Here is a 25,612-nt window from a genome sequence, read left to right as displayed (position 1 = left end):
GAACTAGAAAGGCAAGAACAAACCACAAAAATTAGTAGAAGAAAAGAAATAATAAGGATCAGAGCAGAATGAAACATAGGGGCTAAAAACATACAAAGGATCAATGAAACAAAAAGTTGGTTTTTTGAAAAGATAAACAAAATCAGTAAGCCAATAGGTAGACTATGCAGGAAAAAAGTAGAGAAAGCCAAAATAAAATCAAAAATGAAAAAGTAGACATAACTGATTTCACAAAAATATAAAAAGTTATCAGAGAGCATTATTGACAACTATATGCTAACAAACTGAAAAGCCTAGAGGAAATTGATAAATTCCTAGAGATTTACAGCCTACCAAAATTGAATCAGAAAGAAATAGAAAATCTGGACAGACCAATAATGAGTAACAAGATTGAATAATAATGAAAATACTTTCAAACAAAAAGCCCAGCATTGATTATTTTATTGCCCAATTCTACCAAACTTATAAGAAAAATTAGCACTAATTCTCCTCAAATTATTTCCAAAAATTGAAAACTATAGACCAATATCTCTGATAAACATAGATGTAAAAATTCTCAACAAAATACTAGCAAACTGAATTCAACAAGACATCCAAAAGTTAATACGCCATGATCAGATGGGATTTATACCAGGATTGCAAGGATGGTTCAACATATGCAAATCAATAAACATGATACATCACATCAATAGAATTAAGACTGAAAGCCACATGATCATCTCAATAGATGCAGAATAAACATTTGATAAAATCTAAAAATGTTTCATGATAAAAACCCTGTTACAACCAAAGCAATCAGGCAAGAGAAAAAAATAAAAGGCATACAAATTAGAAAGAGGAAGTCAAATTGTCCCTCTTTGTAGACAACGTGATTATATATTTAGACAAACCTAAACACTCCAGCAAATAACTTTTAGAATTGATAAGTAAATTCAGTAATGTTGCAGGATACAAAATCCAAATACAGAAGTTGGTATTGTTTCTATACACCAATAATGAACTAGCTAAAAGAAATCAAGAAGATAATCCCATTTACAGCAGCTACAAAAAAAATAAAATACCTAGGATTAAATTTAACCATGGAGGTGAAAGACATCTATAAGTAAACTTAAAAAACACTAATGACAGAAATTGAAGAGGAAACAAACAAAAAGACATCCCATGCTCATGGATAAGAAGAATTAATACTGTTAAAATGGCCACATGACCCAAAGCAATCTACAGATCCAACACAACCCTATCAAAATACTAATGACATTTTCACAGAAATAGAAAAAAATCTTAAAATGTATATAGAGCCAAAAAGGAGCTCAAAAAACCAAAGCAATCTTGAGGGAAAAAGTGGAAGCATCACACTTCCTGATTTCAAAATGTTTCTGAAAGTAACATTTTGAATATTAACAAGTATCACAAGGGTATTAACCAAAACAGCATGATCTTGGTATAAAAATAGACATATGGATCAATGAAATGGAATAGAAAACCCAGAAATAAATCCACGTATTCACAGCCAACTGATTTTCAACAAAGTTCTCAAGAACATACATTGGGAAAGGGACACCCTCTTCAATAAATGGTGCTGGGAAAACTGGACATTCATATGCAGAATAATGAGACTAGACTTCTATCTCTCATCCTATAAGAAATTCAACTCAAAATGGATTAAAGACCTAAATGTAAGACCCAAAACTATAAAACTGCTAGAAGAAAACCTACGGTAAACATTATAGGACATTGGTTTAGGCACGTATTTTATGACTAAGACCTCAAAAGCACAGACCACAAAAACGAAAATTGATAAATGGGTCTATATTAAACTAAAAAGCTTCTGCACAGCAAAGGAAACAATCAACAGAGTGAATAGACAATCTTTTGAAAGAAGAAAATATTTGCAAACTATTCATTCAAGAAGGGGTTAATATCTGGAATATACAAAATACTCAAACAACTCAATAGCAAAAAAAAACAATAATCCCACAAAAAGTAGGCAAAGGACATAAATACACATTTCTCAAAAGCGGACATAAAAATTGCCAAAAGGTCTATGAAACAATGCTCAATATCACTAAACATCCAGGAAATGTAAGTGAAAACCACAATGAGATATCATCTTACCCTGGTCACAATGGCTATTATTAAAAAGACGAAAAAATAACAGATGCTGGTGAGCATATTGATAAAACATAACTCCTTATTAAATTTTTATTTCAATAGCTTTTGGGATACAAGTGGGTTTTTGTTACACGAAAAAATTGTATAGTGTTGAATTCTGAGATTTTAGTGCACCCATCACCTCAGTAGTGTACATTGAACCTAATGTGTAGGTTTTTTTTTTTCAATCCCTAGCCTGCCTCCCACATTCCCCATTTGGAGTCTCTAAAGTTTATTATATCACTCTGTATGCCTTTGCTTACTCATAGCTTAGCTCCCACTTATAAGTGAGAACACATGGTTTTTGAGTTTCCACTCCTGTGTTGCTTCACTTAGAATAATGGCCTCCAGCTCCATCCAAGTTACTGCAAAAGACATGATTTCATTCCTTTTAATGGCTGAGTGATATTCCATGCTGTCTATGCACCACATTTTCTTTATCCACTCATTAGTTGATAGGCACTTATGTTGGTTTCACATCTTTGCAATTGTGAATTGTGCTGCTATAAATATACATGTGCAAGTATCTTTTTCATATAATGACTTCTTTTTATCTGGGTAGATACCCAGTAGTGAGATTGCTGGATTGAATAGTAGATCTACATTTAGCTCTTTAAGGAATCTCCATACTGTAGAAAATGTAACTCTTATACACTGTTGGTGTGAATGTAAATTTCTATAGCCATTCTGGAAAACAGTGTAGACATTTCTCAGATAAACTAATAACAGAAATACCAGAAAATCCAGTAATCCTTCTACCAGGTATTTATCCAAAGGAAAGGAAATCAGCATATTAAAGGGATACTTGCACCTTCAAGTTTATTTCAGCACTGTTCACAATAGCAAAATTATGGAATCAATCCAAGTGTCCACCTTTGGATGAAAGAATAAAGACAAGGTGGTACACATACACAGTAGAATACTCTTTGGCCATAAAAAAAAGACGAAATCCTGTCATTTGCAGCAACATGGATGAAACTGGAGGTCATTATGTTAAGTGAAATAAGCTAGGCACAAAAAGACAAATATTGCATGTTCTCACTCATATGTGGGAAATAGAAAACTTGCTATCATGGAGGGAGATGTAGAATGATAGTTACCCAATATTGGGGAGGGTGTCTGTGTGGAGATTTGGGAGTGGGAGCATGAAGAAAGATTGGTTAATGGGTACAAACGTACAGTTAAATAGAAGAAATAAGTTCCAATATTTGATAGCAGAGTGGGGTGACTATAATTTTTAAAATATATTATATATTTCAAAACTGCTAGAAGAGGGGACTTGAAATGTTCCCAACACATAGGAATGATAAATAGTCAAGATGATTACTATAAATACCCTGACTTGATCATCACATATTCTATGCATGTAGCAAAATACTACATCTATACCATGAAAAGGTACAAACATTATATATTAATAAAAATGTTTAATGTTATTAGAGCTAAGCCTTAAAGAATGAGCTTAATTTGAACAGACATGAACAAAGTTCCTATAATTTCAACTCAGATTATTTGTTTTTTTAATATTCATTTTATTACATAAGTAAATCATGTTTATTACACGGAATGTGAACAATACAGAAATATTGAGATAAAAATAATCGTCTTTTTAAATTTAACCAACCAGAATGAATTCAACGTGAACACATTTCCAGCAGGTGTTCAGTTTTTGTTTTGGTTTGTTTTGGTTTTTGCATCATTTGCATTAGTAAGATATGTATTCACACAATTTTGCCTCAGTGCCCTGCAGATATTTTTATTTATTTCCTGTTTATTTCCTGGTATCTATTACTGATAACAACAGTCTGCCTTTTGTCTGATACTGACTTTTTAAAATAATCTGTCTCTTCTGCCTGATAACTTTTAGAACTTTCCCATGATACATGAATGTTGTAATTTCATTACTGTGTGTCTAGGGTGAAATTTCAAATTCTTCCATTCTTCAACTTCTCTTTCTTAGCCCTCAACTCTTTTTCTATCTCTGCTGTATTCTGGATGACTTCCTCTGATAATCTTTCTGTTTTACTTATTCACTTCTTAATCCTGTGTAGTCTGCTGATTAAAGTGTCCTTAAAGTTTCCTCCATACCCATACCAATATTTTTTGTTTCTGAAACTAGCTATTTTTCCCCAAGTTTTTCCGTCCTCTTCCATTATCTCCATTTTTATGGATTCTATCCTTTTTTAAACTTTCAATATTTTCAACATACTTATATTAAAGTACTTTTTCAGCTGATTTTATTACTTCTACTTTCTTGGGCATGAACGCTCTATTTGTTGCATCTGCTAGACTTACCTCTCATAGTGGTGTTTTTCAGTGTTTTGTGATATTTTCTCCTCAGCTTATCTTCAATTGGAATTTTCTTCAGTGAGCCCTGGGTTATGAAGCCCTCCTTGGGGGGATGTTTCCTAGAGACTTTCAGCTGGGGTCATGTGCATTCACCGGTTCTGGACTTTCTCATTTAGTCCTCAGCTCAGGTTTCCTTTGCCACAGGGCAATTCTGCTCAGGGCATGGCCTCACTGATAAATCTGAGCCCACCCTAGAAAAGAATAGGCAGCAAATTTTCTGCCAGGACTGCACAGTCCACCATTCTGACCAATATATTTGCATGTGTTTAAATTTTCCATCCTGCCTTTTATCCCTTAATGTTTGCAACATGAGTATTTAAATAGCGGCCCTTTTACCTGGAGCCTCCGGAACTTTAGGACATAAAAATAGGATCAGCTAAAGTTTGAAAATCTTGTGTTTTTGCATTTTTCCTGAGGCAAGAGTCCAGAGCTTTCATCACATTCACAAAGAGATCTAAGACTGAAGAAAGCTTGAAAATAACTATTTTAAACAGCCTTGAATGTCTCCTAAATTCATTTTAGCCCCTGGTATTATATCAAGAGCTACAGATCTAAGTTTTGAAAAATTCCTTCCACGTATTTTCTAGTGTAGGTCAGAGCTGAGAGAAAAATGTTCCAGCTGGTGTGGGTGGTACCAGCACATGCTTCTCTGAGAAGATTTCTTTATTGGAATTCATGCAAATATATTTTGGGTTTGAGGGAGCTGGGAGAGAGGATGTCTAGACAGTCAGCCCAACAAGTGTGGACGCCTTAACCAAGCAATAGGTAACCAGAGCCCTCCCCTTCTCTATACCCTTCATCCTATACCCCTAACCTCATGAAACCTAAAAGCACAGAAATACTATCAAATAAATGGAATATATATATATGTGTTTGTGTGTGCATGTGTGTGTGTGTGTGTGTATATATATCAGCACATAAAATAACATCACAAAAAATAATTTCAAGACGAAAAGTATGACTAGAGAAAAAGGAAGTCACTGTCTAATGATAAAAGGCCCAATTCGCCAAGTAGAAATAACAATTTCAAACTTAATGAACCAAAAAATTACCTCACGATATTAAAAAAAAACAAAACTTGACAGAACTACAAGAACAATTTGGCAAATCCATCATCATAAAAAGAGGTTTTGACAATTGAACACCGATAAGTGGCATCTATAATTGTGCCTTCACAAATAGTATCTGACCACAGTACTGATCACAAATGGAGGTTCAGTGAAGGGAATTTTCCCAAAGTCACACACAGCCAGTAGGTGGCCAAACTTTGATTCAAATCCAGGCTCACCTGACTCCAAAGTCAAACCACTTTCCAGTAGAGCTTGCTAGTAAGAACTAGGAAAGGGATTGCAAAAGAGATATTATACTTTAATATACATAATTCACTAGGTTGACTATTTTTCCTCTCCTCAGCAGCAGTTACTTGCTATTTTTCCCCACCTGTTAATTACTCGGGTTTGTGTGGGGGCGGATTTGGCTTCCCGCGGCAGCCCAGGCAGGTTGTCACACTGTCAAGGATTCCTCCATTAACAAGCTGTCAATGCACTGCCAACAGCCACCATTTGGTTTGTTCAGGGAGAGGGAGCTCTGGTGTGGAGACTTGGCTCTATCATTTAGAGGAATTAAAAAAAATAAGGCAAGAGGCAGATGTCTTCCAGTCTGTTCTTCCACAACAGATTCAGGGATATGGCGTGGGTTTGCACTGGGAGGAGGAGAGAATAAGGCTTTTAAAATAAGTGCCAAGAAATAAAAAGCTAAGCATAAAGGAATGAAAGGCGAGAATGATGCACTTAAAAATGTAGTCTTTCCTTTCCTCCAGACTTCCCATAGGACGAGTTTCTAAATAACACTAAAAGTGGACTTTTCAAACTCAAACTTTAAAAATGGTTAAAAAGCCATGGTTTAGATTTTTAAAGTGAAAGGTGCCATTTGCCTGCAACCTTTTCAAAGTCACCCTAATGAAATATTGGGAAAATTTTCCAGTCCACAGAGGCACTTTCTGAAGCCTCTGTCCTTTCTGTTAATTAGCACAATTAACCTCTAAGCTGGCAAGCCCCTCTGGCTCGCCACTAACAGGCCCACAGAAATGTCAGATTTTCAAAGGGCTTCACATAAGTGAATGGCAAAGTCCACCTTTTGAGCAACTACATTTAGAGCTGGGGGTCTCCATGAAAATCTTTTTTCTGCACCTGTAGACTGCACTCCTGACTCCTTACCTACAACTTCCAGCACCTGTGCTCACTGACATGCACTTGAATTCTCTCCAACCAATGAGATTTCACAACCAGCTCAGCAGAAAGCTTGTTTCCAAAAATTATATCAAAGCTGCCTTTGTTGTAAAAGTGAGATTTCAGTACTTAGATTACAGAAAATTAAGAAATACATCCACCTTTCCCTTTCTACTCCCTTTTTAGTGCACTGCGAGAAATAACATTATTGTTCAGGCCCAATGAGTCAGTCAAAACATAACATTAATTTGTGGTGAGGACTTTAGTTGGCTTAAGAAAAAAGAAAAGTCAATTAACCTGGCCTAGACCATCACTGAAGATATAAAAAAATGGTCTTTCGGCAGAGGAGTGGGATGCATGTTTGGAGGTTATATAGACATCATGAGCAATGGGAAAAAGGGAAAAGACTTGAAGATCTCCAAGCATCAGCATTGATTCAGCAGGATTCATTCCAAGCATCAGAGAGACTCCCCTCAAAAAGAACCTGAAAGGCAAACAAACAATTCAAGTTTTCCCCACATCTCAACTCTAGCTGTGTGCTATCTCACCCCCACCACAACCCCTCCAACCCACAGGCTGTCTCCTTGGAAACTCCTATTGGATTTTCTCCTATGGGATTTTCAGTTCCAAGCAAAAAAGAAAGCAAAGTGTTAGGTTTCAATCAGGCAGTAACCAAAGGTGGTTCCCCTTTAGCAGTGAGTGCTAAGAATCTTAAAAGCAACACTTTCAGAAATATTATTCCAGTGTCTTCTAATCTCAGCTATGTTATAGAACAGAGATTGGAAAACTAAAGCCTATGGGTCATATCTAGTCTGTCACCTAGTTGTGTAAATAAAGTTTCATGGAAACACAGTCATACTCATTTGTTTACATATTGTTTATGGCTGCTTTTGTCCTGCAACAGTAAAACTAATAGTTATAACAAAGACTATATGGCCTACAAAGCCTGAAGTATGTACTACCCTTTACAGGAAAAATCTCTGGGTTCAAAACACCTGTAAACTCTGGATAAAATGCTCAAAATAAATTTTTAAGGGAGGGGTGAGATGGCAAGAAAATTAGTCAAAAATGACCCCCCAAAAAAGAAGTCACAAAAGTGAGTGAGCACTTAAGCTAGTGAATGGCCTTGACGATACAGGATCGTCATACAAAGAAACCTGCAATCAGTGACACCCACAAAACCTGGAGCCCTAAAGAGTGACAACCCCACCAGGCAAACTAGCAAAGAACCTATCTCAAAAAGAGTGACAGTAAGGAAGTTTGCCTCATTTAGCCTTGTTTCTGAGTAAAGGGGAAACAAGTCGCCCCTAAGAATTTATAACCACTACCCAACCCTCAGGCAAAATTGGAGCTAAAATTCACACTGTCAATGTGGCATAAAAACAACCAAGCCAAAAGTTAACTTAAACTAATCAAGATTGGTAGTATCCCCACGGCTCAGCAAGAGCTCATGCAAGTCCTCTTTGGAGGAATGCACGTTACATACAAGCCTTAAGAAATTTCAACTTATAATGTTTGATAATAAGGGATATGAGCTCACAATCAGAATTACTTAACACATGAGAAAAATAAGCCACTTGGGGTCAGTAAACAACAAAATCAATTCTACCAATAACAGCAGCAATAATAATAAAAACAGCTAACACTTGTATAGGTTACTCTGTAGTGTGCTAGATACTTGTCTTAAGAAATTTATATTTATGGAAGCATTTAATCTTCAAAATAATCCAGTGAGTAACAATTACTTTATCTTTATTTGCCAAATGAGCAAAGTAAAGCACAGCATCTTCAGATTTTAGAATGATTAGATTCACATAGAATCTAAAACATATGTGTGTAATACATTTGAGGAAATAAATGTCATTAAAATCATGTCTCAAAATGACCCAGCATATTTGAAAGACTCAAAGAGAACTTGTAGAAATGAAAAATACAATAAATGAAAATAAAAACTCAGAAGGTAGTTTAAATCACATATTAGACCCAGTTGAAGCATGAATTATTGAACTAGAAATAGTCCCAGAATGACAAGAGAATTACTCAATTGAAAGATAGATGCCAAAAAAAAAAAACAAAATGAAAAAACCTACAATGTAGCATAGAGATAAAAAGTATAATCAGAGATAATGAGACCTAAGACATGCCTAACTGGAATTTTAAAAGGAAATAATAGGCTGGTAGATAGATAATATTTGAAGGGCTAATGACTTAATATTTTACAGAATTGATAAAAGACATAAGTTCTCTAATCATTAATTAGGATAAATAAAAAGAGCCCCATGCCAAGACACAATGTAATGAATCTGCCAAACACCAAGAAACAAACAAAGTCTTTAAAGGTACCCAGAGAAAACCAGATTACCTCCAGAGTCATGACATCTAGACTGATGGCTGACTCCCAGTAGTAATGGTGGAATCCATTTAAAGTACTAAAATAAAAGAGCTGTCAATGAGGAATTTTATAACCATCAAGGCAATATTTTTTAAATGCAGGTAAGATAAAGACAGTTACGGACAAACAAAACATGGGTTAGCTTCCAACAGACATTTAATAACATAATTCCTAAAGAATATACTTTAGTAATATTTATAATATTTTTAATAAAGTATATTCTTTAGAAATAAGAAAGAAGAAAATAATTTCAAATGGAAGGTTAGAGATCTACTAATGAATAGTGAGCAAAGAAAATAATTAAAACGTGGATAAATCTAAACACATTTAATTGTAAAAACAATGATAGCAATGTCCCTTTTGCGTGTTAAAATGTGAATAAAATACAAAAAAGTTTTTAGGTAAAAATATATAGATTCTGGGAGAGTATTTGAAAATTAAATATTTCAAATTTTCTACATTTTGGGGAAAAAGGCAATTTTAAAATTTATTTTAGACTTTATTAAATTACATACATGGTAAAAACTTAGAGGTACCAATTAAATAAAATAAATGGAATTTTAAACCTCCAAAATAATTCAAGAAAACTAAGGAAATCATGAGGGTGGGGGGAACCTCACTTGATTCAAAGGAAAAAGAAATTTAAAGCTAGACAAATGGAAAGTGTAAAATAAGAGAATGGGAATAAATCCAAATATATCAGTAATCACTGTGAATGGAAATTGACTAACCCTACCAGTTAAAACATATAGTAAAACTAGATAAAAATATACCTAAAACATGAGGGTGAAGAAAAGCTGTGAATTAAATGTATAAAAACAATGTATTAAGCAAATATCAGCACATAAAACAGTATCACACAAAATCAGATTTAAGGTAGAAAGCATTATTTGTTATCAAGGAGGTTGCTTCATAATGATTTTTAAAAACTCAATACTCCTTCCAAGAAGATATCACAATTTCAAACTTTTATACACTTAAAAAACATAGGCTCAGAATATAAAACTCAAAATTTGATAGAACTACCCAAAGAATTAGATAATTCCAAAGCATGAGATTTTAACACACCTCTTCCCATAATCAACAAGTAGGAAACAAAGTCAAATAAAGAAGATTACGACATTATAAATAACAAATTTCATCTAATGAACTTATAAAATGGATTTACATGTAATACACATGGAAGACATTTATAATAAATTTATTATTTATGTGCTACAGCCCAAAACTGACGTACATACATTGTTTTCAAGAATTGTTTCACTGGCAGTTAAATGGTAAGAGTTCATCTGTTTAAAAAGATGTTGAAAGTAATTGCAGCAGAAAATTATGATGGCTAGAATTAACATAGTGGTAATGTGGACAAATAGAGGTGAACAATTTTAAAAGAGATCAAGGAGGAATATTCATAGGACTTGGTGATTGATTAAATGTTGAGTACAAGAGACAGGAGGAGACAAGGAAGAGATCCAGTCTCCAGATTGAAAAAAAATGTGCAGGATTTTGTTCTATTCTCTGAGGGAAAAACAGAAGAAATACATTCAGAGTTCCAGGGGTGAATTCCATATGGGATGTGATAATTTTGAGGTCCAAGAAGCATAGCAAAGATTCAATAGGCAGTTGGTTTTATAGTCAAAGAATCGGCTAAATATTTGCTTTGGAGATATTGTTTTATGGCATTTGTTGTTAGAATATTTGTATTAATTTAAATATTTGGATAAGAGGATATGACACGGTAACATGAGTAGATTGAGAAGAAAACACTAAAACGGAAGAGACAGGTGAAATAGAAGGCTATATTAGTTATCTATTGCTACATAACAAATACTCCACAACCTAGTGACTTTTATTTACTCATACTTTGCAGCTTGGCAATTTGTGCCAGGTTTATTCAGGTGTTTCTTCCACTGATCTCACTTGCAATGACTCATATAGCTACAGTGGATTGGTGACTCAAATGGACGGATTCATCTAAAACAGTCTCCTTTCATCTGGTTATTAGGAAGTCAGAATATCCTAATTCCCTTTCATGTGACCCTACTAGCAGGTTAGCTCCATGCAGCACATCCACCCTATGGGTTCAGAGTTCCAATCAGTCAGAGGAGAACAAACCTATTGTGCAAGCACTTTTTAAGTCCTTGTTTGCATCATATTTGCTAATTTCTCTAAATCCTATTTGCTAATTTCCTTAAAGCAAATCATGTGATTATGATCAGATTAAATGGATACAGAAATAAACTCCATTTCTTGATTGAGGATCAACAAAGTTGCATTGTATAGGGACAAATGCACATGGATAAGAGATATTATTGAAGTCGTCTTTGCAATCTACCATAGAGATCCAGCAAAGAACTACTAAGTTGGAGAATTGTATGCAGAAAGCCCAAGAGCATCTTAATGCACAATCCAAGGGACAGAGTTTGGAGAATGATGAAGTGGTTCCCCATGTCAAATACTGTCAAAGTGTCAAGTAAGACAAATCTGAAGATAAGTCACAGGATTTATTAACAAAGAGATTGCTAGTGCTCTTATCAGGAACAGTATGCAAGTGTTAAGGGCAGAACCGCAGAGGGTTGAGGAGGGAATTGAAAGGGAGTAAATGCAAACAACTCATTCAGGAAGCCTAGTCTTGAAGAAGGAGTGAAGACTACACAGTAAGAGAAAGTAGGATGACCAAATGGTCTTGTTTCTCTTTACTATAAGACATACACAAAACTGAGCACCATTAAGAGTTAATTGGAGAGGCCAAAGGAGAGGAATATCAGGTGCAGCTGCAGGAAAGAGAGAAGTAAAAATGATGATTGACCTTTAGCCTTTTCTGTAACAAGAAGAAAGGTGAAAGCTATCAGAAATTGAAGGTAACTAAAAGCAAAGAAAGATGTAAGTGCATACCCACTTTCACACTGTCCTATGCAAGGGCCCAGTGTGTGGCTTTTCCCCACAAGTTACAGCGCAAATAGAGTTTAGTTGATATAACATAAGTTTGGAATAAAAACAAACCTGACCTTAACACACATTAACTGAGCAGCCTGGTGAAAGTAATTGAACATTTCTGATAATCTATGTTTCAGCCCATGCATAGAATCATAACAGACCCACACTGTTTGTGGAGATTATATGTGATAACATATCTGAAGATAACATACAACTTCAGTTTTCTCATCCCTCAACAGCTCCAGCTAACCGAATGGGTTGCATGGCATCAGGCAAATTGTGACACCTTTCTGAGTTCTTGTTTCTCCATCTATAGAAGTGCAGACTGACAAATGAGCTTTCCAGGCTCCTTCCAACATTGATGTTTTAGATATCTTTACGTCTCAGGAATGGCTTCAGCCTATAACCTAGCAGGCATTTGGAAGCACAAGTTTATATGATGGCAGAGAAAAGGCCCAGAGTGGACATCCTGGAAGTTCCTGGAAACCATGAACAATGCTGTGCAGGCTTTGAATGAAGAGGCAAGAATCACAGAGCCTGGTGAACAAAGAAGTCTATGTGGTAACTTGATGGCAACCTAACTGAGTGAAGTACTTTTCTAGAAATTTTACAATCCTCTGGAGCTGGCAACCTGACAGCTGCCAAAGCTCATGCCTCTCCTCATCCAGTAAATATTTACCAAATGCCTATTATGGGCCAAGCATTCTGCTAGACATTTGGGGTATAATAGTGATCAAAGGCATCATTTTGAGCAGCTAATATTCTAATAAAATATATGTTATATGGTAATAAGTACTACAGAGAAAAAATAAAGCAAGGAAAGGGAGAGGAGGAGCTGGTGGATAGATGCAGGTGTTACTTTAAATAAAACTGTCAGAGAAGGCTTCACTGAGAAGGTAATGCTTAAGTAGAGACCTAGGAATGATGAAGGCAACAGCCATTTGGACATTTGGAGAAGATCAAACCAAGCAGAGGAAACAGTAAGTGTCAAGGCAGGAATGCATCAGGTATGTTCAAGCCCAAATTCAGGAACAACACTTGTCATGGCCACGATACACAACATTATGAGACTCCTTTCTAGATATTTGCATAGAGTTCAGTTGATATAATAAGTATTAAAAATCAAATAGATTCAGGGTCCCACAACTCTGACCCCAGCTGTCCCCTTGCTACACACAGCCATGAGTTACTTGCAATGCACCATGATATCTACACTGATTTATAAGTTCACACAGTCTGTAGATATGGTTTCCTCACCAACCATACTTTTCTTCTTGTTATATTAGTTTCCTTTTCTTTTTAAAGGATAAAACTATTAGCTGGGAAATCTATTTTGTTCTGCTGTGAGCCATTTCCCTATTAACATTATCCAAAACATACTTTAAGATTAAAGCTTTTTCCTTTGGAGAATAAATTCCACATTTCAGCATAGCCATCCAGTTGCCAGGATTATTTATTCCCACATAGCAATGACCCCCTAACTTGCAGTTTCTCTCTCACATTCTTTCTTATGCCCCCAATTTTATTTTTGCTTCTATGTGATAAATTTCAGGCAATCTGGAGCCAACGAGAAGCAAATTTTGAGATAAGGATGTAAAGGTGTTAAAAGCATTTATTATGAGCCCAAGGGTGTCTACTTAAAATGCTGATGTTCTGTTATCCACCTGATATAATTGAGAAGCTGAGAATCTGGAGTGGTGAATTTCATTCCATGGCTCTTCACAATTTTCAAAGCCTTTTCATATGCCTTAATTTACTGTCACGTCATTCCCTCCCTCACTATTGACCTCCTAATTGCTAAATTCCATGGAAATTCTGGGTTTACACTGACCTTGGCCTCCCTGCAGCATTTGAAGCTCTTGACACATTTGCTGCTATGTTCTCAGCAGTGTGATTCGATCCAGTTTCTTCCCATCACTTTCTTTACTAGACCTCATTGGTAGACATCTTTCTTAACACACTCCAGTTTTGGAGTTTCCCTGGGTTCTGGCCCAGCCCTTTTTATTGTAAGATATCAAAATCCTCTTGAGTCCCCTGCCTTGTATATGCCAAGGATTCCCAAACATAGCCTCTAGTCCTAATCACTTATTCTCCACTCATCTGGCTCTGAGTTTCCAGTTGTCAGAAGGACCTGGGGGTCTCACAGGTGCCACAAACTCAACAAGTCAATAACCAAATGGTTTGTATCCAGTGCCTTTGCACATGATGTTCTGTACTGACTTTCTTTCTCTCATTCCCACTGTGGCCCCAACTAGTACATTTTCACAACCCATTCCCTATTCAGACTTTTGCTCAGACATTGTGTCCTCTGTGATCCTTCCCAAAACAATAATCAATTTCTCCTTTATACTTCTTCTGCAATAAATAACTTTGTCCTATTGCTGCAATGAACATCTATCACTGCATATACACACTGTGCTGTTACTTTTCTTGCACTAGGATTTTTAAAGTCATCAATGGTTTTGTTGATCCATATTTCCCCAGTGCCTAAAACTGCAGTCAATAAATGTGTATTGAATAATAAAAGGAAGAAGGTGAGGAGGGAAGGAAGGAAAAAGGAAAGAAGGAAGGAAGGAAGGAAGGAAAGAAGGAAGGAAGCGTTGACAGAAAAGAGAGGGAAAGAGAAAAGAAAGGAGAGTGTCCTAATCAATTTTGGTTGCTTGTAACAGAGTACCTTAAACTGGGTAATTTATAAAGAAACAAAATGTATTTCTTACAGTGCTGGAGGCTGGGAAGTCGAAGGTCAAAGAGACACATCTAGTGGTGATAGCCTTCTTGTTGGGTAGGACTCTGCAGAGTCCCAAGGTGATGAACAGCATCACATGGCATGAGAGTTGAGTGTGTTAATACGCTAGATCAGGTCTCCCTCCTCTTATAAAACCACTACTGCCACTCTAATGATAAACCATCAATCCATTAATTCATTTATCCATGAATGAATTAATCCATATATGAGGGTTCTACCCCAATCACTTCTTAAAGGCCCCAGCTTTTAACACTGCCATGTTGGGGATTTTCAACGTGAGTTTCTGAGGGGACATTCAAACTGTAGCAGGAGTTCTCAAAACATGCCTTAATTTATATATAGAAGAAAACAGATACCGGGGAATTTTAAAACTTGCCCAAATCCCCATGGCCAGAAACTGTAATTCCCACACTCAGATGCAGCCTTTTGATTTCAAATGACCAGCACTTTCCTCCTACGCTACAGTAGCCTCAGCTGCCATTTTTCCTTCTGTTTTGCTAGAAAATAGCATGGGCATTTTTAAAAAGATAAACCAGGACAGATAATTCTTTTGGCCTACAACTGGGACAGGATTTTTCACCCAGCCTTCCCTGTGCTTCTGCAACTTAAGAGAGAAAAAGTATGTTGATCTCAGCAGTCAGCAGGAAGTCATCAAAGCATTTCTCAGACAAATCCTACAGGACTGAAGGTGTCCAGACACATCTAACCCCGTGATTGTTTCATAGTATGCAATCCCAAGTGAACAAGTTGGGAAATGAAAGGTTGTGAGCATGGCTCTCTCCTGCCAACCCTGTCTCTGGCATTGCAGTCGCACTGCTTTTAGAGCTTTCGGAGCCCCTTGATCCTCTGTCCTATGGAAGCACTCCATCCAATGCCAGTGAAATAGCTAAATCCAGTGGGCAAAATGAATACACTGGACATTTCTGTCTACTAGAGTTTCCTTGATAATGAGTGAGCATAAGAGGATGAGGATGAGAAGAAGAGAAGGGCCTGGTTCTGTCCTCACTCCTCACCAGGCAGCTTGGTCCTGGCCTGCTTCAATGCGCACAATGTGTCAAGTGAAACATTGGCCAGGATTCCTGACAAACTCAGCCTTTTGCTCTCAGAGTCCAGATTGTGGCCCTTACTTCCTCATTGGCAGGAACTAGCTACAACGGAAGGGGAGCAGCGCAGCAGGGCGACTGCCAGAGGGCAAAGGCTTCTTTAGAGCTCAATGCTGAGTGAGCTTCTCACTCTCACCAGGCCCTTCCAGTTATGAAAATTTGCCGCCATTTGGAGATTGTGGCAGCAGTGAAGGTACATAGCTCAGCTCCCTCACTTCGAGAAAGGGCTTTCCTTTCAGCTGCAAGGACTGCAGTTACCTGATGGCTTCTAGCTGTCTAGTCCTCTGATTTCACCTCGGTTTCAAGGAAGGCTGTACTCTTCCAGGGCAGCCCCCAGCTATGGACATAGAACCTATGTCCAAGTTCTAGGACTTGGACATTTCAGTCGTATGCAGGACTCCTCCAGTGGATAATCCTTGCCCTGGGGCTGTTTTTGGGTTGGTCAAGGCTTTATGAGATCAGCACTACAGTCAGAGTTTCCCTCCCTCCTCCACACTCTGTCACAGGCTTTGCACTCCAACCCCAATAAGTCTTTCGCACTCCTAACTCTGTATCAGCACCTGCTTCCAGGAGAATCTAAATGACACAGTGGTCTTTCCTGGGATCCTGCCATTTATCTGTGCTTCTCAGTGATGTTTACTCTTCTTTTTCTATTTGGCGATATTTTTACTCTACCTATCTAATGATATTTTTGCCCTGTTTGTTACTATCCATTCATCAGTTGGAGGTTGACTGTGGCATAACTGGGGAAAGAAGACATCATTTTCAAGTGCAACATTAACTTTGTGTAATAAAAGAGAAATTACTTCACTAAGGATAATTACTCCGACTAATATTCTAGCCTCAACACCCATTGTATGGCTTCCAGTTTATGCACTCATGGACACAGGCCTGAGCTCTAAAGGACTGTACTTGTCCTGCCGCCACTTTAAAAAGTTCTAATTGTCAACTCTCCTAACTTTATCTGGGCATTCAAACATTGATTCTTAAAATGACAAATTACTGGCACAAATAAAAAAGATTAAATATGAAGACAAATTTGGGTTTTTTCCTTTCCAAAATATAGTCTATTTTTGCCTCTTTAATCTTATTACTAGCTGGGTAGGGACTTTCAGTTCACAGCCCATTCCCCTGAGGGGAAGTAAGAGAGGAGAATTCCTTTGGTGGTAGGAGGGGGCGTTAGAAAGTCGAAGGGAAGAAGGAGGATGGAAAGTATCCTATGAGTTAATTCATAACTGATTTTTGTAATGGGAGCTGTTGGGGTTCCTCCCTGCATCCTTTCCCGAGCCAGTGCCCCCATCCACGGATGATGTGAGTACTGGCTGCTTGTGACTCACTGACCCCTGCCCCCTCCTCTGAAGAAATGACATAGGCTGACCTGCAGCTGACCTACCACCACCCTGGGCTATAATCAGTGACTTACTGAGATGGAGGCCTGAATAACTGGCCCCCATTCCTAAGGTAAGTTTTTTTCCTTCAGTCCAGTTCTTTGTGTCCTAAAAAAACTTCTCTACAAAATAGTCACTGTGGTAATGGCCGTGCTATTTGTGAAATTGGTAAGAAATAGGCATTGTGTTTGCCTTAATTCACATAGAAAAAAAGGTTAATTTATTAATCTATCCATTTACCCCACATTCACTTAAGATGTACTCTCTACATAGCTCTATGCTATGTTGATCTCAACATTTATGGCTTAAAAACTTAATGGCTTAAAATAATGATAACCTTTATTTTTCTCATGAATCTGAAATTTGGGCAGAGGTGTCAAAGATAACTCATCTCTGCTCCACATGACATTAGTTGGAGCAGCTCAAAGGCTGGGAACATTCTCATCCTTTCAACGTGGCAGCTGATGCTGGCTGGTGGCTGAGCCCTCCACTGCGACTGAAACTACCACACATAGCCTTTCACCTGGCTGCTAGGTTTTCTTACAGCATGTTGGCTAGGTGCCCCAAGAGAACCAGGCAGAACTTGTATCACCACTATGACAACCTCAGAGTCTCATAGCATCCTTTCCACCATAGTCACTGGCCTATCCAGATTCAAAGAAAGAAACTGACCAGTGGAGGCATGTCCATGTCACACTGTAAAATGTCATTTGGAATGGGATATATATATATATAGATATAGATATAGATATAGATATAGATATAGATATAGATATGCAGCCAACTTTGGAAAATACAATCTTCAACAAAAATATAAGAGGTGCACCCAAAGCCAGTTGACCTTTATAGCCACTTTCATAGGGTGATGTGAGTATAAGCCAGAAAGCAAGAGTGGGAGTGAGCCCAGGGAAGTATGGTACCAGCATGCCCAGCCTTCCTAGGCTAGAGCAGAAGGCCAAAGGGATTGTCATTTTCATAACATCCTTGAGAACACAGTACCCACTGGCTGTGTACATCAGATGCTATCTTCTCTCCGCTTTTCCAATCATGGCAGAAACTGTTGTAGCCAGTTTTATGGTTGATTTTATGGTTGACTCCCTTTTTTTAGGTAAAGGAAAAATACCAGGTGAAATTAAATTTAATTAAGGATTCTTGAACAGATAGAAACAAGGAAAACGAAATTGAAAACCCTTGCAATATCTTATTATAGAGAAGCAATTGAAGTTTGCATTCCTTTAATGTCCAGGATTGCCAAAAGTAGTAATTTTTTTCATTATCCCTCATGTTTCTTTATTGAGCATATTTCTTTAAAGAAATCAGAGCCACAAGAAACAATTTGGTCTGTCCTATTAGTCCTGATATCTATGTAGTAGGCAGGGGGCAGAGAAAATAAATTACAAAGGGCGTGATCTTCAATGCCAGCAGAGCTTGGGTCCAAATCCTAGTTTTACTGTTTATTAACTTTATAACCCTGGACAAGTTGCTTAAACTCCTTGAGCCACATGCAGCAAATATTTATTGAGTGCCTATGCAAGCCAAGCAATGTTTTAGGTACTGAAGACAAAACAAACCAAACAAACAACATCAAAACACAAAGTCCCTGCCTTCACGGAGCATGCATTTTAGAGGGAGAATAAACAGAAAGCAGCTTATGTCAGTGGTGATAAGTGCTATGCAGAAAAAAATAATACAGGAGAGAAAGAACAAAGCATGAAGACAGTAGGGTAAAACTGGACCAGTAAGACCTCTCTTACGACAACCTGGAGGAAAGGAGGGAGACAGCCACATAGATGTCTGAGGAAAGAACATACCATAAAGAGGAAACAAATGCAAAGAGCCTGAGGTTCCATTGTGCTTGTCATGTTTAAGGAACAGTGACAAGAAACCCCAAGGAAGTCAAAGTGACAAAAGTAAGTAGAATGGAGGGGAAAGATGGAAGAGGAGATTGGGAAACAGAAATGTATACAGCCAGACCATGGAAGGCTTCATAGACCACAATAAGAATGGCAGGTTTACTGCAGAGTGTGGCAAGCCATTGGATGGCATTGGACAGAGAAGTGATATGATCAGACCTCAGTGTTTTTCATGAATCACTTTGGCCACTGGGTGGAGAGCAGGGAGTCAAGGGTGGAAGTAGGGATGCCAGTTAGGAGACTATTAAAGCAGTCCAAGTGAGAGATAGTTGTGGCTTGGATCAACAGGCAAGTAAGGAAATAAGAAATGGTTTGATCCTGGTTATATTCTGAATATAAGAGCCAAGTGAATGTGCTGATGGAACAGAAATAATAAAAGTATAGGAAGGCTGTTATGAGAATAAAACAAATAATGTGTGAAGTACCTTGCATACTGCCATATTCTCAGAGAATACGATTTGCCAGCCCACTTCTGCCCCACACTCCTACATTTCTTACAAGTAAAGCAAAATCCCTGAGAATTCACATGATATGTTGGAATGATAGGAGGGAAGAGAGGGGAGAGGAAGTTTCTGCTTTAGGGAGCGCAGACACAGCTGCCTTCCTTCCTCCCAGGTTGCCAAAATCCATTCCACCCTGGAGTGTCCTAGCTAAGAGGAAACTAGAAATCCTACACAGGTCAGCTAGAAAAATTGCAAGTGTTCTCTCTCTACCTCAGCCCTTTGCATATGCCACTTCCTCCCTCTCAAATCCTCCTTTGCTTTGGTTCTGCATCTGGGACCTGCTACTGATCCTGTAAGACTCAACTTGTAATTAGAGAGCAATTTTCAGGACTCCTACCCTCACCTTGTCCCTTTCCTTCTATGTCAGATACTGTCTCTGTCGCTTCCCCATCAAGCAGAAGCTTGCCATTACTTCATACTTTATGACATGGGGATGATGGCAGGATAGAAAATCCATCCACATTACTTTTTTTGTCTACAAAGACAATGTTGTTTCTTCGTTTGTTCTGTGACTGGTATGTTCTTCCTCACAAGCATCCCTCAGGTGAGTAAAATAAGAAAACTAAATTTAGTTTAAGCTGTGATTCTTGGATCTGATTCTAAATGTAAAGACTTGTTGAATTAAGCTAAATCCTCAGAGATCCTCAGAGTCTCTGCCATGTCTAAATCTACACTTTTGGTAGGGTCACCTCGCCTCTCCCTACAGGCAAGTGGCTGTCCCCATGGCAAGTCTCTCCTCTCAGCACACCTCCTCTCCCTTCCTGAGTTATGTTCATGCCACTGGAAAACCAAAGGTAACTCAGGGTTGCCAACTCCATCCCATCCACAGCTCTGGCCATTGGATTCCTTTATCCCCATTTCCATCTCCCTCCCTCCTTCCACATCTGCCAGAACTAGACAGAGTGGATTTTCCTCCCTGGTTTTTCCGGATTTGCAGTGACCTCCCATGCACAAAATTCTATGACCAACTCTCTTGAGATTTCTGAAGCTCTTCTCATAGGCTCTATCTCATCCCCCTGAGTGTATTATCAGGTGGGTGGGCTGTAGAGAAGGGAATCTAGTGTCCTTGAATTGACCTGGTGCCCTATGACTCTCTTCTGGCTTAGGCTGTGAAGAGGTAGGGCTAGGCTGTGCTCTAGAGTGTATTCCCTCAGGGGAGGTCAGTCCCACCCCAAGCATTCAGCCAGAAGCTGCTATGATGTCCCTGGCTGGTGTGACTAGCCTCTCTGTTTCTTCAAGAGCTGGAGGTACTATTCCTCCCTTGGACTCTCCCTGATGCCTCTCAGAGATACTCAAAGTCTCTGCCATGTCTAAGTCCATACTTGCTATAGGGTCATCTTCCCTCTCCCCACAGGCAAGTGGCTGTCCCCATGGTAAGTCCCTCCTCTTGGCACATCCCCTCTCCATTCCTGAGTTCTTTTCATGCCACTAAAGGAACTAAAGGTAATTCAGGGATGCCAATTCCATCCCCATTCACAGCTCTGGCCATTTGATTCCTCTAGCCCCCTTTCCATCTTCCTTCTTCTTCCCACATCTGCTATAACTAGAAAGAGCAAATTTTCCTCCCTGTCTCTTCCGGATTTCCTGTGACCTCCCATGCATAAAATTTTATGACCTAGTCCACCAGACCTACTTCTGCTATGTTAAATGGGAACTAAAATAATTTAGAACACTTTCTATCTCAACGAACACTGTACTTCAAGCCTGTGTCTGTCATCTAACATCACAATAATGCTGCATAACAAACAACTACAAAACCTTAGAGTACTCTAAATGAGCACTTATTTAGCTCATGTATCTGGATGTTGACTGGGGTCAGCTGACTGAGGCTAGATTCCATGGAGGTGGTTCAGCTGGGGTGATTCTGTCCATTTGTTTCTCTTCTCTCCCCTGTGACAAGCAAGCTAACCCAGGCACATCATTCTCAAGGTGGTGGTGGAATAAAGGAAGAAGCCCAAATGAGCAATGCTTTTCCTTGCTCATGATCCAGCAAGGCTGGTGGATCATGAAGTCAGGAGTTCGATGCCAACCTGGCCAAGATGGTGAAACCCTGTCTCTACTAAAAATACAAAAATTAGCAAAGGGTGGTGGTGGGTGCCTGTAATCCCAGCTACTCAGAAGGCTGAGGCAGGAGAATTGCTTGAAAGCCTCTACTGGCCTCAGGTCTGCTGATATTCCACTGGCTAAAGCAAGTCACATGGAGTAGTGTAATATGCTCCCCTCAAATTAAAGAGCACTTTAACTTGCATGTGTAAGGTTGTTTCTGATGAGGAAGTAAAAAGCAAGGACATGAACATGGACATCTGGAATATTGACTATTTTAGAATGACTCTTCTACAATCCCTATTTCCATACCTCCACGAGACTGATGATTATTTTGGACCAACTTGAATTATTATCCCTGTTATAGAATTAATCTATTAATCAGTTTCTCACCATTAAGTTGCAACCCCTCTTAAGGTCAGGGGCCATGTTTTATTTATCTTTGTAAGCCCTGAGTGCCTCGATATAGTATCTGTAATGGATAACATAGTTGCCTTCTGTTCATAGAGTCCACACTTCCCTGTTGCCTGCCAGTCATATGCTTTGGATGACTTTGAGCACACTTCCAATTTTAGGCATAGACACTATATTAGTTCATTTTCACACTGCTGATAAAGACATATCTGAAACTGGGAAGAAAAAGAGGTTTAATTGGACTTACAGTTCCCCACGGCTGGGGAGGCCTCAGAATCATGGCAGGAGGTGAAAGGCACTTTTTACTTGGTGGTAACAAGAGAAAATGAGGAAGATGCGAAAGCAGAAACACCTGATAAAACCATCAGATCTGGCGAGACTTGTTCACTACGACAAGAACAGTATGGGGGAAACTGCCCCCGTGATTCAAATTCTCTCCCACCGTGTCCCTCCCGAAACATGTGGGAATTATGGGAGTACAATTCAAAATGAGATTTGGGTGGGGACACAGAGTCAAACCATATGATTCTGCCCCTGACCCCTCCAAATCTCATGTCCTCACATTTCAAAACCAATCATGCCTTCCCAACAGTCCCCCAAAGTCTTAACTCATTTCAGCATTAACCCAAAAATCCACAGTCCGAAGTCTCACCAGAGACAAGGCAAATTTCCTCTGCCTATAAGCCTGTAAAATCAAAAGCAAGCTAGTTTCTTCCTAGATATAAAATGGGAGAAAATAGCCAAAACAAAGGGGTTATAGTGCCCATGCAAGTCCGAAATCCAGCAGGGCAGTCAAATCTTAATGCTTCAAAATGATCTCCTTTGACTCCATGTCTCATATCCAGGCCACTCTAATGGAATAGATGGGTTACCATGGTCTTGGGCAGCTCTGCCCCGTGGCTCTTCAGGGTACAGCCTCCCTCCTAGCTGCTTTGTGGACTGGTGCTGCATGTCTGCAGCTTTTCCAGGCACATGGTGCAAGCTGTCATTGGATCTACCATTCTGGGGTCTGGAGGACGGTGGCCCTCTTCTCACAGCACCACTAGGTTGTACCTCAGTAGGGACTCTGTGTGGGGGCTCTGACCCCACTTTTCCCTTTCTCACTGCCCTAGTGGAGGTTCTCCATGAGAGCCCCACCTCTGCAGCAACTATGCCTGGGCATCCAGGCATTTCCATACATCTTCTGAAATCTAGGCAGAGCTTCCCAAACCCCAATCCCTGACTTCTGTACACTCTCAGGCTCAACACCCACATAGAAGCTGCCAAGACTTGGGGTTTGCACCCTCTGAAGCCACAGCCCAAGCTCTACACTGGCCCCTTTCAACCACAGCTGGAGCTGCTGGGATGCAGGGCACCAAGTCCTTAGGTGGCACACAGCACAGGGACCCTGGGGCCGGCCCACAAAACCACTTTCCTCCTCAGCCTCTGGGCTTGTGATGGGAGGGGCTGCTGTGAAGACCTCTGACATGTCTTGGAGACATTTTCTCCATTGCCTTGGGGATTAAAATTGAGCTCCTCGTTACTTGTGCAAATTTCAGCAGCTGGCTTGAATTTCAACTCAGAAAATAATATTTTCTATTCTATTGCATTGTCAGGCTGCAAATTTTCTAAATTTTTATGCTCTGTTTCCCTTTTAAAACTGAATGCCTTTAACAGCACCAAAGTCACCTCTTGCATGCTTTGCTGCTTAGAAATTTCTTCCACCAGATACCCTAAATCATCTCTCTCAAGTTCAAAGTTTCACAAATCTCTAGGGCAGGGGCAAAATGCTACCAGTGTCTTTGCTAAAACATAACAAGAGTCACCATTGTTCCAGTTCCCAACAAGTTCATCATCTCCATCTGAGACCACCTCAGTCTGGACCTTATTGTTCATATCACTATTAGCATTTTTGTCAAAGCCATTCAGCAAGACTCTAGGAAGTTCCAAAGTTTCCCACATTTTCCTGTCTTCTCCTGAGCCCTCCAAACTATTCCAACCCTGCCTGTTACCCAGTTCCAAAGTTGCTTCCACATTTTCGAGTTTCTTTTCAGCAATGCCGCACTCTACTGGTACCAATTTACTGTATTAGTCCATTTTCATGCTGCTGATAAAATACCCAAGTCTGGGAGAAAAAGAGGTTTAATTGGGCTTACAGTTCCACGTGGCTGGGGAGGCCTCAGAATCATGGCGAGAGGTGAAAGGCACTTCTTACATGGTGGCAGTAAGAGAAAATGAGGAAGAAGCAAAAGTGGAAACCCCTGATAAACCCATCAGATCTCATGAGACTTATTAACTACCATGAGAACAGTATGGGGGAAACCGCTCCCATGATTCAAATGATCTCCTACTGTGTCCCTCTCAAAACACGTGGGAATTATGGATGTACAATTCAAGATAAGATTTGGGTGGGGACACAGAGCCAAACTATATCAGACATATCCCTCTATAAGTTTGTGTGAGAATATGTCAAGGGCAAAGATAATCAGTGAATGATATTCCCCCTGGACACAGAGTTCAGGGATGGTTTTTTCAAAGTGAAGCTCAGAATTCCTGTTAGCTTATACAAACTAACACCTAACTGCCTTGACATAAATGAGAAAATAGACTGGTCCACATAGCCCTGGTCCACTGGCAGCCAAATTGCTCCCATCAGGAAAGCCAGTCTAGCACAAAGCAGACCTGAGAGAATCACGGATGAAAGAAGATGGAGAAATAAATTGGGCCCTGCCTCTTAAATTTTCAGTTAAATACTTCACACTCCCATATCCCTACTCCTTGGCATTCTCTGTGCCCTTCATTCTGCTTAGTTTTTTCCATATCACTTATCACCTGAAATATTGCATATGTATTCATTGAGATGAACACATTAATTTGTTGTTTCTCTATCTTCACACACTAGAAGGCAAGCTCCTCGTGGCTACAGACTGTTTTATTTACTGTTCTATCCTCAGCATCCAGAACATGTCTGAAACATAAAATGTACTCAGTAAGAATTTGCCAAATAGATGAATGAATGAGTGGATAAATTAATGAATAAATTATTTAGGTCAATTTGAGTTTTCCACGAATTACCACTAGAAGACTCCTGATACACACTGTTCAATACACACTTGCTGAATAAGTGTGTATTGAATCCTGACACACACGGTTCAATACACACTTATTCAGCAAGTGTGTATTGAATAGTGTGTATCAGGATTCTTTTAGTGGTAATAAATGGAAAACTCAACCTAAATTGACCTAAACAATTTATGGATGGAATAATTGATGAGAGCATGAGACACAAGAGCTGTCTTCAAATATTGAAAGGCCATGCTGTAAAAAAATTAAAAAGAAGCATTAGATTCATTTAATTCATTCATTCATTCTGTGTCATTTCAGAAGTGGAAGTTGTATTAAGGCTCAATATAAAGAACAGTTTTCTAACAAGCTGTTCAAGATGGAATGTGTTGACACAGTAGGTAAT

The 25,612-nt window shown here is 38.9% G+C and overlaps 1 long non-coding RNA gene across 16 annotated transcripts in view; it reads right to left on the bottom strand.

Annotated features, from left to right (window-relative positions):
* LINC01811 (long intergenic non-protein coding RNA 1811) overlaps positions 1-25,612 on the bottom strand; it is a 276,733-nt gene that overhangs the window by 41,994 nt on the left and 209,127 nt on the right. For 5 of the 16 annotated variants that reach the window (NR_183687.1, NR_183691.1, NR_183688.1 and 2 more), the window contains one exon: positions 6,972-7,212. The exons of the other annotated variants lie outside the window; for them this stretch is intronic. This is a non-coding gene — a long non-coding RNA (long intergenic non-protein coding RNA 1811). Of the gene's footprint in view, positions 1-6,971; positions 7,213-25,612 lie in introns of those variants that run through there. 16 annotated transcript variants of the gene reach the window in all.

This window comes from Homo sapiens, chromosome 3 (assembly GCF_000001405.40).
Source record: "Homo sapiens chromosome 3, GRCh38.p14 Primary Assembly".
NCBI lineage: Eukaryota > Metazoa > Chordata > Mammalia > Primates > Hominidae > Homo > Homo sapiens.
This window is presented reverse-complemented; position numbering and strand designations above follow the sequence as displayed.